We start from the raw sequence: 16604 nt of genomic DNA on the forward strand, positions 1-16604 counted from the left end.
CCTCCCCCCACCTCAGTGGCATCCTTAGGAACTTGTACATGGAAATAGAAGATGTGTTTTCATTTGTTGCTGCCAGTTCAGTAACCTCCTTATCTTTGCTTTCTGCTGCATGGAGTAGAACCCAGCTGTTTGGGCCCTACCCCAGGTAAGACTGCAGTGTGGTAAGTCTGCTGTCTCCAGATCCATCACAGCCTCCATGGGCTCTTGGACTTCACTCTTGTGCCCAGGAGAAGGCTCATGAATTGTGTTTGCTTTCTCCACCCCTCCACCAATAGCCTGCTGGAGAAGGTTGAACAAGAAACATGGCGCGAGACCGGCATTTCCTTTGTGACCTCAGTCACCCGCCTCATGGAACGTCTTCTTGACTACAGGTATCTTCTCAGCCACCCGCTCCCCTCTTCCCTTGTCAGGATACTCTCTCTGGCAAGGGAATCCCCCTGACCTGAAAACTGAGACCATGTGCTCTTCATGGGGAGGACTGTTGTGATATTGGGTGCCATCACCAGTCAATAGGAATCTGCTGATGACCAAGGAGAGACAGAGACTTTTCCCAGGGGTAGGCTAGGGCCTCCTGGGATTCCCCACTAAAATGTGGGCACATGTACCCTGGAGGGATCTCAGGGACATGTAGTCATCTGGCCTTCCATCCAGAAGGGTCAAGGCTCAGAGGAATGGGCACAGCAAGAGGGAAGAGTAAAGCTGTCTCCAGAGCAGGGCAGGGAACAGCTGTAGGTCCTTAGTGCAGACCCTCCTCAGAACCATATGGCAGATGAGCAGAGAAGTATCACCTGGAGGACTTGAAGTTGGCTTTTCCAGGGACTAGGGACCCCACTTTTCAATGCCTATATTCTTTATCTAAAATCTATGTATTTCTGTCCCTTGGTCGTGGCCAGAATAGATTAGAGGAAACAGCCTGTGAGCTCAGAGATCTTCATATTATGTCCAGTCTGGGAGTTCATGTGGAATAAGAATTTTTTTTTTTTTTTGAGATAGTCTTGCTTTGTCACCCAGACTGGAGGGCAATCATGGCTCACTGCAGCCTCGAAGTCCTAGGCTCAAGCGATCCTCCCACCTCAGCCTCCTGAGTAGCTGGGGCTACAAGCTCATGCCACCATGCCCGGCTAATTTTTTGTTTTTTGTTTTTGTACAGACAAGTTCCCACTGTGTTGCCCAGGCTGGTCTCAAATTCCTGGGCTCAAGTGATCCTCCCACCTCAACCTCCCAAAGTGCTGAGATTACAGGCCTGAGCTGCTGCACCCAGCCAGAATTAGAATTTCTTAATGAAAGTCTGCCTTCTCAGTTGTATCATGGCTTTTGAATTAGTCCAAACATGACAATGAAGCCACAACTGCAGCCTTAATCATTCTCTCAGCAGGGTTCAGGTGATGGCTGAAGGTGCCTTTTGGGAGCCTGGAGGAAGGTGAGGAGAAATGATAAATGAAACCCAGCTCCAAGCAATAGTTGCCTTCTCTGTGCTATAAGCTGTGCAAATGCCAAATGAGGGGAGCATTTTCAGCTCATGGATCAGGAAATAGGAGAGTTAAGCCTGGATCCAGTTGCTGCTGAAGTAGAAGATGCTGCTATGCAAAAGATACAGGTGTCCAATGCACTGGCCTGGATATGGAAATGGAATTCCTGAGAAATGTGCTCATGTCTTAAGCATCCCCCCATTCTGTAGCACAGCTATGCTTGTGTGAACTTTAGCCCATTTTTCCTGGGCCTTTCGAGTTCAAAGCTGGCCTTGGGGCCCCTTTTACAGCAGGAGACTTCTTTGTTCACACCAGGTCCGTAGCTTCTCCTGCAGCTGCAATTAGACAGGGAAGAGAGGTGGGTAAAGTGCTGCACCTCCCCCTTTCCAAAACATTTTCTAAAGTTTGGCTTTATTCACCGTGGCCTAACAAAGGAGCAGAAAATAATTTCTTAGGCTCCAAGGCCTTATTCTAGCCGCCTGTTTGATTTCTTTAGCTGCCTTCTACAAGCAGCTCAAACTCATGCCCAAAAGCAACTTCATTCTCTATTTCTTGTCTCAATGGTGGTATCTACAAAAAGGCCAAAGTCTTTAATATGGCATCACTGGCCTTTACTCACTTCTCCAGACCAATCTTCTGCTAGTCCCCAGTACTCATGCCCTACACACCAGCCTCCCAGTGTTGCTTCTTGCTAACATGAAAGGAAACAGCATAATGTTGATGATGGCCCCTGTTTATTGAAAATCTACCACGAGTGCTCTACATACATTTTCTCTAATCCCATAAGCATCCTCATTCTTTTTATCCATGAGGAGACAACTAAAGTATACATATGTAACAAACCTGCAGGTTGTGCACATGTACCCTAGAACTTAAAATATAATTTAAAAAAAAAAAAGAAAAAGCCAAAAAAAAAGAAGAAGAAGTACCACTGCTAGGATTTGAACCCAGATCTAGCTGACTCAAGAACCATGCCCTATCTCTGTGTCCATGTTGTCACCACTTAATCACTTGTATTTTCCCTTCAGGTTTCTCTGTATGCTGTGTTCTCTCCCAAGAGTGGTCTTCCAACTCACCCCTATTAAGGAAGCTTTCCCAAGCCAGGAGCTTACCTTTCCGTGCACACATTGAATGATGATCATTTGTCATTCTGTCTTACCTTACAAAAGAGGACCAGCTCCTTGAGGATAGGAACCTTGTCCTTATCTCCCTGTTCCCCTGTATGGGGGCCAGCTCCTGGCAGGTGCATAGTAAATAATGAGTGATAAACTTGTTGGAAAGACCATGCAGGAACCAAGCAACTCTTTTCCTCTGCCTCAATGCAGTTAGTTCAAGAACTTACTAAGAAAAGAGTTGTTGGCCAGGCACAGTGGCACAAGCCTGTAATCCCAGCACTGTGGGAGACCAAGGCAGGCAAATTGCTTAAGCTCAGGAGTTTGAGACCAGCCTGGACAATATGGCGAAACCCCATCTCTATGAAAAATTGGAAAAGTAGCCAGGCATGGTGACATGCACCTGTGGTCCCAGCTACTTTGGAGGCTGAGGTGGGCGAATCACTTTAGCCGGGGAGGTCGAGGATGCAGTGAGCTGAGATTGCGCCACTGAACTCCAGCTTGGGCGACAAAATGAGACCCTGTCTCAAAAAAAAAAAAAAAGAAAAGAAAAGAAAAAGAAAATAGTTGTTGATATGACTCAAGGGAAGGACATCAAACAAAAAGGAAAAAATAATTGTTCAAAGTTTTAAAATACATACATTGATTAAACAAATAATCAATAGATTGTACTCTAGAATTACCTGAACCTGTTATGTAAGACTCAATTTTAGACTGGCAAAACTTTAGGTACTCAGAGGAATACCTCTTCAACTTTTATATCAATGTCTTTAACTTTTGTGTGAATCTCAGACACTCTGTGTCAGACATGAAGATTCTCACTGGTAGTAACTATATTTCCCAGGTTAGGAAGCAGAGCCCTAGAAGGGTTTTTTTGTTTTTTTTTTTGTGCCTGGAACAGACAGGGACAGAGCTAGAGTTGCCAAGCCCTTGTGGCTCAGAGTGGAACCTCTACCTGGAATGGGCAACTGAGGGTTATGAAGCCTTCCTTTCCCAGGCCTCTCAGGTTGCAATGAGGGCTTCCTGGTCACTGATGTAGTCCCCAGCCAGCCCACTACTCAGGTGAGCCGGATGCTTCAGAAGCCTCTTTCTGGAGTCTTCCCTGCTCACCCTTCAGAGAAAGAGCAAGAGGAAAGCAACAGCTGCACCTAAGTCAGACTTTAAAAGGCATCCACCATGAAGTAGCCACACAGAAGTGATGCAGAGGTACACAAAAAAAGAGTCTGCTGTCAGCAGTGCAGAGGAGAAGCAGTCATAGAGCACAGAAGTGTGTAGGATGCCCCTGGTATCACAGTGTTGAGGCCAGTTCCTTTCTGTTTAAGGGACTTAGCTATGAAGTTCTGGTTATGGCCAAATAGAAGTTAATCCGTGGTAAATGTTTCAGATGCTTTATAGAAAATACAAATCACTAAATGCCAAAGTGGCTAGGTAAAATCTCACTGCCCTTCATGGGGCCAACTTACTGGGGAGACAGATGCCTTCTACCATTGTGTGGGTTGCTTGGAACAACTTGGCCATCTGACCTCAGCCTCACTCCTCGAAAAGTCAAGCAGTTTCCTGGCTCTGCTAGCGCTAAAGGGACAGGTTCTGCAGAGGGATGTTCAGGACCCTCATGTCTGGCTACATAGGAACCAAATATCTTACGTGGTGAATGTGCTGATAGGTCAAACCCCCCTAGAAAGGAGGGCCTTGGTTCCAAACCTCTCAAACCTATCAACTCTGACAGGAGACTTCCACAGGAAGGACATTTGGCTTTGCAGAATATCATGAGAGGAGTATGGATTTTCAACATCCTTTTCTTTCAAAGAAGTCATCCCAAGGTTCTTCCTCTGCATGATGGGAAGGTGGGGAGAACTGGGTTTGTCAAATGACCATCCAGAGGCTCAGTGACTTGGCCTAGGGACCCTGACTCCCAGCTGTACTGCTCTTCACTGGGCCCTGTGCCTGCCAGTGGAGCAAAGCCAAAGACACTCTCCAACCTGACCCTAGAAATCTGTATAAACCCCTTTCTGCAGCTTTTCCCCAGAGCTGCTAATACACAGCTGCACAAGAAACTAGATCTTCTCCATAGCAGTGTGGGCTGCTATGGAAGGAGACACATCAGGCAGATGGCACTCTGGCTGGCATAGGAGATGTCTTGCTGGATTCACCAGTCTGGTTCTCATTCTCCTTCATCTCCTTGTGCCAGGCTTCTGCTCCTTTCCAGAGGAGCTTGGCTTTGACCAACCCTCTCCCTATCTTGGAAAAGATCCATTCTCAGTGTTCCTATTTTCCTATCTCTCACAGGCCATCCCTGACCCCTCCTACACCCAGACCCTGCTAGGTATGAATGCAGCTCAGTCCTGGCTGATGCTTTAAGCACGAGACCTGCTGCTTCTGGTGATAGATGGCTCCAAACACTAGTACACAGGAAGGAAACCATAGGGAGAAATGTCAACTAGGTGGTGAACATGTACAGAGCCCTGAAGCTAGGGCCCTGAAGTGGAGGGTCTTGGCTTCTATTCAGCACTCCTACAAAATGAAACCTGCCCTTTAAGGAGAATTCTGTGCCTCCCTTTTTGGGAAGTTGAGGATTTGGCCTTCCACTTAATTCATATACCCTTTTGTGCCAAGGACATTGGTAGGTGCCACTTAATACCCTGATGTAGCTCTGGGCTCTCTCTGTGCTCTGCCACCAGAATAAGGGGCTCAGTTGAACAGAGATCTTTGAGCCCTGAGAGTGGTTCCAAAGCTAAAGGAGCTCACAGTAGAGTCCTTATCTATGGAAGCAGTTCCTGTTGGAGGCCATCTCAATCTGGGATTTGGTCATACTAATGCCCCAGTGATAGTACAGTTCTATGTGTTGTCTCAAGGCCCCACTTCATATCTGGTGCTCATCTGTGCTCTCTCTTCCAGGGACTGCATGAAAGGAGAGGAAACAGAGAATAAGAAGATAGGCTGCACTGTTAACCTGATGGTGAGAGGACATGGGCCCTGACTTCTCTCTGCCTACTGAAATGGTTTCTGTCCTGCACTGTGATTGGCTTGGCCCTTCTACAATACATGGCTGCAGGCCTAAGGGTTTGAATCAGGACATCAGCTCTGTTACTGGTATCTTAGAGGCCTGCACTCCCCCAAACACATTCCTACTTGGGGAAGGAATGAAACGAGCTTCTCTTTGGATAGAACTCTAGCCTGGCCTCTTGGCAAGGACCCACTAACCCTGACATACCCAATTCACAGTCAACCCTGACTCCTGATCTGCCCTGATGCTTTTCCTCTTAACACTACCCAGGGCTCCCATAGACCTGCCAGTGGTTCCACCCACAGCAGGTGTTCCTTCTGGCTGGTGCTTTCTCCTTCTGGTGCTGTCTGCCTCCAGGGCCTGCCCTCCCCCTCCTGCCCAGCACACCCACGGCTATGGCCAGCTGCCCAGAGCTTGGCTATGGCTTCCACAGGTAGTTGACAGGTGTTTCCTTCTCTTTATTGTAGAATTTTTACAAATCTGAGATTAACAAGGAAGAAATGTATATCCGCTACATCCATAAGCTTTGTGACATGCACTTGCAGGCCGAAAACTACACAGGTAAGTGGGGAGAAGAGAGAGCCATGCCTGACCATGAGGACAAACTGAAGGGATTTGTACAATAGGCAGAGAAAGGCTTCAGGCTGGTGCCTGCCAGATCTCAGCAGAATGTTGGGGCTTGTGCTATCCCCTCACCTCACTCATTTCCCTCAACTCCTTTGTGGCACATGGTAGAGAGAAAGCAGGCAGAACTTCCACTTGTGCCTTTGTGCCATGTCATCCACTACTTGAGTCTGTTTCACTCTTCTTCCCTCCTATCCACCCCTCTGAAGTCTCAAGGGTGACCTCCAAATTCTGGTGCACCAGGTTCAGAGCATCCTGAGCTCACTGTCACTCCTTATGAACAGAGAGCCTTTTTTAGGACTTTCAAAGCTGGAGCTAAGGTTATAACAAAGGAATATCCCCCTAACCCTGGAACTTCCAGAACTCACTAGCAGACCTTCCTTGCAGGCTAGGCTCTTCAGACCCTGCAACTGCATAGCAGCCTCACATTGTGCACTCAGTGTAGAGTATAAAGAATGTTCATCTGACTTCTTGACAGGCCAGATAGGGCTCCTTTCATTGTATCTACAATTTAATCCAATATCAAGGCCTTTTCTAACTAGAACAAATTTTAAAGCATTTCAAAGTGGCTGTCACATCTGTTTACTGAGAACCACGCTGAATCGGGGTTACGTGCATGCATGTGTGTCCTATCTGATTGACTTATGCCATCGTTCCCCCCAAAGAGCCATTTTCTCCACTGTGGTGACCAGCCATTATGTCTTAGCTCTTAGGCGATAGGACTTGAATTTGTGTGATAGATCAGGAAATTTAAGCTATCCTTGTCTGCAAACGCTACTGCAATTAGATAGATTTGTAGAAACAGAGAATCCTCCTTCTTTATCTCTAGCCGTTAGAGAGTGTTTGGCATAGATGGTATCTTATCTGATAGCATAGCTTGGCAAGAATTAAATCTAAAATGACTGGGCTTTGAATCTTAAATTCAGCTGACTAATAAAATAAAATGACTGGGCTGAGTCTACCATTCTCTGCATCCACTTGCACCCATGATCCCAGCAACCCTCTGAGAGGGCATTGAAGAGAAAGACTTTGATAAATGTTATGTATCAGTAGAAGCATTTGCTAAACTCCTAGGAAACGGGGCCATGACTGAGAGGCTGGGTCAGGGATTTTAACAGAGAAAGAGTGCTAAGCCTTGTCTCTGATGGCTCAGGGAATGACATCTGAAAAGAATATAGGCAAGGAAGAAAAAGACGTTCCATGGTTTCCTAAGCTCCAGAGGGAGGCCCTGAGTTCCACAGGGCTTGTCCCTAGAGAGAAAAGGCTTCCTGATCCCATGAGGAGGCGTGTACATTCCTTGGCAGGAAGTTCCAGTGGCAAGGGCACAGGCAAAAAGGCAAGGATGAGGAGGAGCCTAAAGAGTGGACACAGGCAAGTGGGCCTAGCTAAAACTGGAAGTGGGTCAATAAATGGTTAGAAATGAGATTCTTCATAGTCATGGGGAGTAGATTTGAGTAGGGCCTTGAAAGCCAGGCAGAAGCACAGAAGCTAGAACTAACTAACTTGCCAGTAGGAGATGCCCACTAAAAATGAACAAATAGAACAGAGAGAAAACTGTGTAATGAGGCCCCTGAGCCGTGGCTGTGATTCAGTATGACTCATCCCTTGGAATGTAGGGAGCCATGGTATTTCACTGCTGTTGTTTTACATAACCTTCTCTAATTGTTCCACACATAGAGTAAGATGTTGCCAGGCCTTCACTCTGGGTCTAGTATCAATTTAGGTTCCTTTGGTAATGGAGCCCTAAGAGCCAGTTCTGAGAAGGTTGGAAAGGAAGCTGTAGTCAGTTGAGCAAAAAGGAACCCAAGAGCTCTCTCTGATGTGTCAATGTCTCCCAAAGCAAGGCAGCCTGTGCACAGATTTTTGGGTAGCTGAACCATTCTTTATTAATCTGGAGGCTGGAACAGGTGACCAGGCCATGGAAGGAAGGTGTCTACCAGAATATTTGGCTCCTTCATGCTGTGGACAAGGGTTATTGGCTTGTTGAGCAGCCCTACTGTTTCATCTTTAGTATCCAGTGTCCCCGACCTGGGCTGCACATGACTTGCGCTGGCATTCTGCCCAGCATAGTCCTCTGACACCAGGCTGCTCCTGGGCCTCTGAGCAAGGGAAGCCCCTGGACCTCCATGCTGTCTGTCCCCACAGAGGCCGCATTTACCCTGCTCCTTTACTGTGAGCTGCTGCAGTGGGAGGACCGGCCACTACGGGAATTCCTCCACTACCCATCGCAGACAGAGTGGCAGCGGAAGGAGGGACTGTGCCGGAAGATCATTCACTACTTCAACAAAGGCAAGGTATGCATCATTAGGCAAGCCCTTTAGCCCTTCAGCTTCTGCTGTGATGCATGGCATCTTGACACCATAGGGTTAACAGCAGCTGCAGGGGGTAGTGTGTGGGGTGGTGAGTGGGTGGGTGCCTATCTATGTGCCTAAGATGTGGAGGCAGCATGATTTTCTCTGAGGGAGAAAAAGACAACAGCCTAATTCTGTGGCTTGAAAGCCATATCCAGATTGTAGGTGTTAGAGACTACCCTACATACTAGCTTTGCATATCTATAAATATGAATGCTTCTACAGCAGGGGCTTCTGGAACCCTGTTTGTTTTTATTGGATTTACTTAAAGAACTGATACGGCTTTCTAATCTGCTGCCATATAAAATATGAGTGGTAGAAATGAATGGATTTTAACCACAGCCAAAGGCGGCCTAAACTGCCTCTTACTGGTATGTGTTCTTTTCTTAGATTTCCCTTCTCTACAGCACAGCCTGGGCTCCTCTCATATTGGGGTTATTTTCCATCAAACTACTTTCTATGGGATTGGCAGCATTGTCAGCACTGGTTTAGGCTTCCTTGGGACTTCCCAGCCATTCTCCTCCCATCTCTGGGAGAGCTCTGTGTGGCGCCCTCTGACTACCTACTGTTAGATGGGGCCCTTGTGCTGGAAAAACTTGTTGAAGCCATTTTCTCATTACTAAGCTTTGAGCACATTTTAAAGCTGAAATAGGGTCATTCATGGAACTGTAGTAGCTGAGCCCCCAACTCAAATGGAAATTGGTTTTTGAGATGAGTTTTTTCATCAAAAAGAAAGATTTAAACATTAATGGCTTTTGTCTATAAATCAGAAAACATTCTTCAGTTTTACATAACATGGGGGACTTCTATGTTTGTCAAAAATATTCACTCAGAAAACATTTCCCCATACAGAGAATGCACTGGTAAGCAAGAACCTTTCCAAAAGCGCAGAAACTCTTATGTAACCTAGCCCAGAAAGGATGCCCATGCTCAGCTCTCAGCCAGCCCATGCAACTGATCCACAATGCTGACCCAAAGCCTCTGGTCCTTGCTGATCCAGCGCCTGACACAGAGCCCCTCACATGCAGTTTTAGGCCTATTTTCCTGGCACCTGGCTAACCTGGAGCTGCCCCTCACCCTCATGCCCAGCAAGCCCTCCTAGCTCACAGGGAATGACATAAGCGTGGTGTGAGTACGCATGTGTGCTTCTAGTGCATTCATTCTCATTTCTTTCCATGGGCACAGAGTACAGAGTGGAGAGTTATCCTAATCTGACTGAGTCTACCCGTGGGATGCATGAGCATTGATGGTCCCCTATTCATCCCACATTATAGTAATGCATAGAAAAGCAGGATTAAATTTTAACATGGACTAGGGAGTAAAACACAAAGTGTGCCTGAGTACTGTAGATGGACAAGAAGGAGAGAAGGACTAGGAGGCTCCATAGGCCACCTTCTCAGGAATCTCCTCACTTCTGCAATCCTGCCTTTGCCCTGAATTTCTGGAGGAGCAGAGTCTATGCTGAGTAGAGACCACTCAGTGAGCCCCCTCATGAGCTCATCCTCAGAGGGGCAGTTATCAGACCCACTGTCTTAGGCTCACACAGAAGGCCTACCTTGTCTGTTCCTGTGCCTCAGCTCCTGATGAAACTATTAGGTGAGATTAACCAGTCCTTCTTGAAAATATTCCGGGTTTTCAAGAAGAAAACCATGGTTCTAGAAAAGCAAAACCCAGATGCTATGGGAAAAAAAAATGCTCCCGTGGGGCAGGGATGTTTAGCACCAAGAGAAAAGCCACCTTGGCAACAAGAGAAGGGCAAGGAAAGAAAGGAGGAGCAGGTAGTGAGTTTCTAGCTCTCAACACTGCCAGCACACCCTGCCTCACAAGGCAAGCCCCTCCTGGCTTTTCTTCCAGACACTACCCCCAAGAGCTGCCCCATAGGGACTGCTCATTTAGGTGATGATGGCCCCATGTAGGGCTAAAGATGCCCTGCCTGCTGACAGTAGCTTCCAGTGAAACAAATGTCCTCCAGTGGGATCAAGGCTCATCTATCTTGCTGGTATCTCTTCCCTAGTTTGTAACCATGCTGCTCCAAGGCACTCACTCCAAGGCCTCTACTCCAGTTACCTTTAGAATGAACAAGGACAAAAAGTAGTAGAAGAGAAGTGATTGGATTTCAGAGACTGGTAAGGCATTTTGGAGTAGCTTTGCTTTCTGCCTGAAGGAGGGAAACCAAAGGAAAAGATGTAGATGGGGATGCATTGCACCTGTAGTACACTTGCTACCTCTGTGCAGAGGCAGCTCTCAAAGCCCCCAGACCCACCATTGTTCCAGTACACCCCTCAAAGCTGGCACATGCTCTCTGGTGTCTGCCTTAGACAACACAATCTCCCTTGGTCCCATGTTTATGTCCTGGGTACCCAAGAGGATTAGCCATGGCTAATAACATGGCCATAGCCTAGTCCTGGGCCATTCTCTCCTGTAGTGAGGTGGTTCACTTACAAACCTGCTACAAGTTGGACTGGGCTCTGGTCCACAGACAGTCAGCTCTCCCAGGCCAGACAAGGAGAGAGGGAAACTCCAAAGAGACAGGATATGGCAGGGTGAGAGTTTAGAGAAGGAAGGGGTGATGTGAAGATCAGAGCTGGTCCTGCATCTCTAGGTGGAGGAAGCAGGCAGGAGGAGAAGCTGGACAGAGGCTAGCAAACCATCAGGGCTAGACCAGCCACTTATGTGGGAGAGGGCTTGGGCTCTCCTGCTTGAGGGTTTACCATGGTCCACACTCATTTGAAGGAATGACTGTTACTTCTAATATGTAATGTGCAAACAGACTGCCAGACAGGTGGCCCATGCTTTTCCCTTCCTTTGCCATTTGATTAGAATGACCCCTAAGTCAGTACAACTTTTTGTGCTGTCCCTGCGAGGGAGCAACAAGGATATATAAAAGCACATATTAGGCCAGGCAAGGTGGCTCACGCCTGCAATCCCAACACTTCGGGAGGCCAAGGTGGGCGGATCACTTGAGGTCAGGAGTTCAAGACCAGCTGGCCAACATGGTGAAACCTCGTCTCTACTGAAAATACAAACATTAGCTGGGTGTGGTGGCGCATGCCTGTAGTCTCAGCTATTTGGGTGGCTGAGTCATGAGAATCACTTGAACATGGGAGGCGGAGGTTGCAGTGAGCTGAGATTGCACCACTGGACTCCAGCCTGAGTGACAGAGCAATTCTGTCTCAAAACAAAACAAAAGCACAAATCTGCAGGAGCTGGTAGAAGTGACTGGATTTCAGACACTGGTAGGGAGTTTTAGAGTTAGCTTTGCCTCCTGCCTGAAGGAGGGAAACCAAGGCAAAAGATGTGGATGGGGATGCATTGCGCCTGTAGTATATTTACTAACTCTGTGCAGAGGCAGCTCTCAAAGCCCCCAAGCCCACCAGTGTTCCAGCATACCCCTCAAGGTTTGCAGAGTGTCTTAAAATTTTTGGTCCTGGCTCATTCTAAAGATAATTGTGGTGGAGAGGGGTGCCTTGGAGCATCAGGGTTACAAGCTAGGGCAGAGATGCCGGCAAGATAGATGAGCATTGATCCCAATGGAGGAGAAGACCTGTTTTTTACTGAAAGCTACTGTTAGCAGACAGGGCATCTTTAGCCACACATACAGCCATTGTCATCTAAATGAGCAGTCTCCCATGGATTGGCTCTTGGCAGGCTGGCCAGAAGTCTGTATACAACTCAGCTGTAAACTTAGCTAGCCCCCATGAAGCTGCCAGCCAGGTAGACCCTGTTGTGGGTCCATTGCTGAAACCTGCCCAAGCGGCACTTGGAGAGGACTGATATACGCCCCCTTGAAAGCTGTGATAATGGGGGTACAAGAGGCTTTCTAGCTCACTGAGGCACAGGCATTATATTAAAGCAAGGAGTCAGGGTCTATTTGAAATTCTGTTTGGCTGGGCATCGTGGCTCATGCCTGTAATGTCAACACTTTTGAGAGGCCAAGGTGGTAGGATGGCTTGAGACTACGAGTTTGAGACCAGCCGAGGTAACATAGCGAGACCCCATCTCTATAAAATATTTTAAAAACTAGCCAGGCATGGTGGCACACACCTAGCCCCACCTGTAGTCCTAGCTACTCGGGAGGTTGAGGCAAGAGAATCTCTTGAGCCCAAGCATTCAAGGTTGCAGTGAACTGTGATCATGCCAGTGCATTCTAGCCTGGGTGACAGAGCAAGACCTTGTTTCCAAAAAAAACAAACAAACAACAACAAAACACACATGCACACACACAACAACAACAAAAACCTCTTTGGTTTGTTTTAGTCTTTTTAATTGGTCCTGCAGTTTCAATCCATATGGTGTTAATTTCTTTGAAGGATAGAAAAATGTACTCTTTTGAGAAACACAACCCCAAATGAAACAGTGTTTTCCTTCTCCTTGATGCTATTTCAAAGAGTATTCTTACAAATATAGTCCTTATGTTTAATGATTTATGCTGAAATATTTACCGGTGAAATTATATCTGAGATTTGTTTCAAATACTATGGGGAGGAATAAGTGAATAGGGTATGAATAATACAAGATTGGCTGTGAGTTGGTCATTGTTGAAGCTGGATGATGGATAAGGGTTTATTCTTCTAGTCTCTCTACTTTTCTATATGCTTAAATTTCCTATAATAAAACATTTTTATTAGTATTGAGAAGTTGGGGAGCCTGGGTAAAATATCAAGTAAACTAATGACCCTCAATCTAACCAAAAGAGGTATATATATTTTTAATTATACTTTAAGTTCTAGGGTACATGTGCACAATGTGCAGGTTTGTTACATATGTATACTGTGCCATGTTGGTGTGCTGCACCTGTTAACTTGTCATTTACATTAGGTATATCTCCTAATGCTATCCCTCCCCCCTCCCACCACCCCACGACAGGCCCTGGTGTGTGATGTTCCCCACCCTGTGTCCAAGTGTTCTCATTGTTCAGTTCCCACCTATGAGTGAGAACATGCGGTGTTTGGTTTTCTGTCCTTGCAATAGTTTGCTCAGAGTGATGGATTCCAGCTTCATCCATGTCCCTACAAAGGACATGGACTCATCCTTTTTTATGGCAGCATAGTATTCCATGGTGTATATGTGCCACATTTTCTTAATCCAGTCTATCATTGATGGACATCTGGGTTGGTTCCAAGTCTTTGCTATTGTGAATGTGCTGCAATAAACATACGTGTGCATGTGTGTTTAGAGCAGCATGATTTATAATCCTTTGGGTATATACCCAGTAATGAGATCGCTGGGTCAAATGGTATTTCTAGTTCTAGATCCTTGAGGAATCTCCACACTGTCTTCCACAATCATTGAACTAGTTTACAGTCCCACCAACAGTGTAAAAGTGTTCCTACTTCTCCCCATCCTCTCCAGCACCTGTTGTTTCCTGACTTTTTAATGATCACCATTCTAACTGGTGTGAGATGGTATCTCACTGTGGTTTTGATTTGCATTTCTCTGATGGCCAGTGATGATGAGCATTTTTTCATGTGTCTGTTGGCTACATAAATGTCTTCTTTTGAGAAGTGTCTGTTCATATCCTTTGCCCACTTTTTGATGGGGTTGTTTGATTTTTTCTTGTAAATTTGTTTAACTTCTTTGTAGATTCTGGATATTAGCCCTTTGTCAGATGGGTAGATTGTAAAAATATTCTCCCATTCTGTAGGTTGCCTGTTCACTCTGATGGTAGTTTCTTTTGCTGTGCAGAAGCTCCTTAATTTAATTAGATCCCATCTGTCAACTTTGGCTTTTGTTGCCATTGCTTTTGGTGTTTTAGTCATGAAGTCCTTGCCCATGCCTATGTCCTGAATGGTATTGCCTAGGTTTTCTTCTAGGGTTTTTATGGTTTTAGGCTAACATTTAAGTCTTTAATCCATCTTAAATTAATTTTTGTACGAGGTGTAAGGAAGGGATCCAGTTTCAGCTTTCTACATATGGCTAGCCAGTTTTCCCAGCACCATTTATTAAATAGGGAATCCTTTCCCCATTGCTTGTTTTTGTCAGGTTTGTCAAAGATCAGATGGTTGTAGATGTGTGGTATTATTTCTGAGGACTCTGTTCTGTTCCGTTGGTCCATATCTCTGTTTTGGTACCGGTACCATGCTGTTTTGGTCACTGTAGCCTTGTAGTATAGTTTGAAGTCAGGTAGCGTGATGCCTCCAGCTTTGTTCTTTTTGCTTAGGATTGTCTTGGCAATGCAGGCTCTTTTTCAGTTCCATATGAACTTTAAAGTAGTTTTTTCCAATTCTGTGAAGAAAGTTATTGGTAGCTTGATGGGGATGGCATTGAATCTATAAATTACCTTGGGCAGTATGGCCATTTTCACAGTATTGATTTTTCCTATCCATGAGCATGGAATGTTCTTCCATTTGTTTGTGTCCTCTTTTATTTTGTTGAGCAGTGGTTTGTAGTTCTTCTTGAAGAGGTCCTTCACATCCCTTGTAAGCTGGATTCCTAGGTATTTTATTCTCTTTGAAGCAATTGTGAATGGGAGTTCACTCACAATTTGGCTCTCTGTTTGTCTGTTATTGGTGTATAGGAATGCTTGTGATTTTTGCACATTGATTTTGTATCCTGAGACTTTGCTGAAGTTGCTTATCAGCTTAAGGAGATTTTGGGCTGAGACAATGGGGTTTTCTAAGTATACAATCATGTCATCTGCAAACAGGGACAATTTGACTTCCAAAAGAGGTATATATTTTTTTTAAAGGAGGAAATGGATAATATCGCCTCTTAATGAAGGCCACTGCAGCCTTCTCTCAGGCTGTTGCATGGGCATGTTGCTGTAACAAGAGCCATACCACAGAAAGCCTGGAATCTAACTAGGCAAGGATCATCTGAAGCCTAATTTAAGGTCAAATAGTTCCATAAAGGAAATTGTCAGACCTACTGCCAAGTCCTTGAGTAGGCATTTTCTTCTTGGTTTCCATACTTGTTTCTGAGCTTAAACTATCTTAATCTAAAAATTAGTGTTTCATTATCTCATCAAATAAATCTTTATTGAGTACCTGATACATCCCTGGCATTGTTCTAGTCTCTGAGAACAAAATAAACAGGGTCCCTGCCCTCATTCTGTTTCTCATCTGATTGAGACTAATACAACAAGAAAAGTAAGTAATTTTTTTAAATTAAGATAACTTCATAGTAACAGAACAGAAATGGACAAGGAAGTGCCTGTTCTTGACAAAGCAGTCAGGGAAGGCCTCTTGGAGGTGGAGACATTTGAGCAGAGACCTAAAAACTATGCTTGAGCTAGAAAGCCACACGGCTGTGTCATGCCCCCCAAATTGGTCTTGAGGTATATGTTCTTTGTGACACATGAGTTGGAGCTGGCGGGAGACCTTTTGTTGTGTGTCTTCTGATGTGTTTAATGTGGGCTTAGGCTATTCTGAAGATGAGATGCTGAAGCCCTGTTTCTGTTTCTGACACAGAGCTGGGAGTTTGGGATCCCACTGTGCAGGGAGCTGGCGTGTCAGTACGAGAGCCTCTATGATTACCAGAGCCTCAGCTGGATTCGGGTGAGCTGTGCCCCTCCCCCCACCCCAGCCCTGACTGGCATCAGTTTCTAAATGAGCGTTCTCTATGGGCCCAGCCCTTAGTTTAGTGCTGTGGACAATACAAGAGAAACAAAAGCCAAGACTCCTGCCCTCAGGACACTTGCAGTCTGACTAGGAAACCAAAAATAACACCTGACAAATAATTGTATGATCTAGACCCCAAGAGCCACTGGTGCTCAGAGAAGGGAGAAGTGGCATAGGCAGGATAGGATGGTGGTTTCAAGAAGGAGGTGGCAGCTCAACTTCACAGAGAAGCTTTTCCTGGAATGGTTTTGTTTATGGATGCTTCATCCAAAATCTTTTTAAGAGCTTTCCCCACTTTGCTTATGGTCACTTTTAAGCATGTTGTACTTGCTGCCTTCTTTGATGCAGAATATTAAAAAATTAAATCAAATGCTCGATGGCTTTGAAGGTCTGCGCCAAATTTTTCCTGGTTGCTGGTGCTCGGTTCTGAATCATAATGGCTGCTGATTTCATCAGCAAAAAAGAGGCTAGCAGTCTCAACTCAC

The 16604-nt window shown here is 45.7% G+C and overlaps 1 protein-coding gene across 28 annotated transcripts in view, besides 1 other annotated feature; it reads left to right on the forward strand.

The window, feature by feature from the left end:
- The window catches only part of DOCK3 (dedicator of cytokinesis 3), a 709272-nt gene that overhangs the window by 657956 nt on the left and 34712 nt on the right, over positions 1-16604 (forward strand). For 17 of the 28 annotated variants that reach the window (XM_005264914.4, NM_004947.5, XM_006713010.4 and 14 more), the window contains 6 exons: positions 119-145; positions 276-371; positions 5477-5537; positions 6053-6146; positions 8355-8503; positions 15970-16056. In XM_005264914.4, coding sequence (XP_005264971.1) covers positions 119-145; positions 276-371; positions 5477-5537; positions 6053-6146; positions 8355-8503; positions 15970-16056 — 514 coding nt within the window. The remainder of the gene's footprint in view (positions 1-118; positions 146-275; positions 372-5476; positions 5538-6052; positions 6147-8354; positions 8504-15969; positions 16057-16604) is intronic. The other 11 variants (XM_005264916.5, XM_047447597.1, XM_047447598.1 and 8 more) reach the window with 2 other exon arrangements.
- Positions 6987-7871: an enhancer, noted in NCBI's record as "H3K27ac-H3K4me1 hESC enhancer chr3:51377300-51378184 (GRCh37/hg19 assembly coordinates)". NCBI's record gives its function as "activates a minimal SCP1, AML or CMV promoter by ChIP-STARR-seq in primed H9 embryonic stem cells {active_cell/tissue: H9 hESC(primed)}" and the evidence as "EXISTENCE:reporter gene assay evidence [ECO:0000049][PMID:30033119]".

This window comes from Homo sapiens, chromosome 3, assembly GCF_000001405.40.
Source record: "Homo sapiens chromosome 3, GRCh38.p14 Primary Assembly".
NCBI classification, from domain to species: Eukaryota; Metazoa; Chordata; class Mammalia; order Primates; family Hominidae; genus Homo; species Homo sapiens.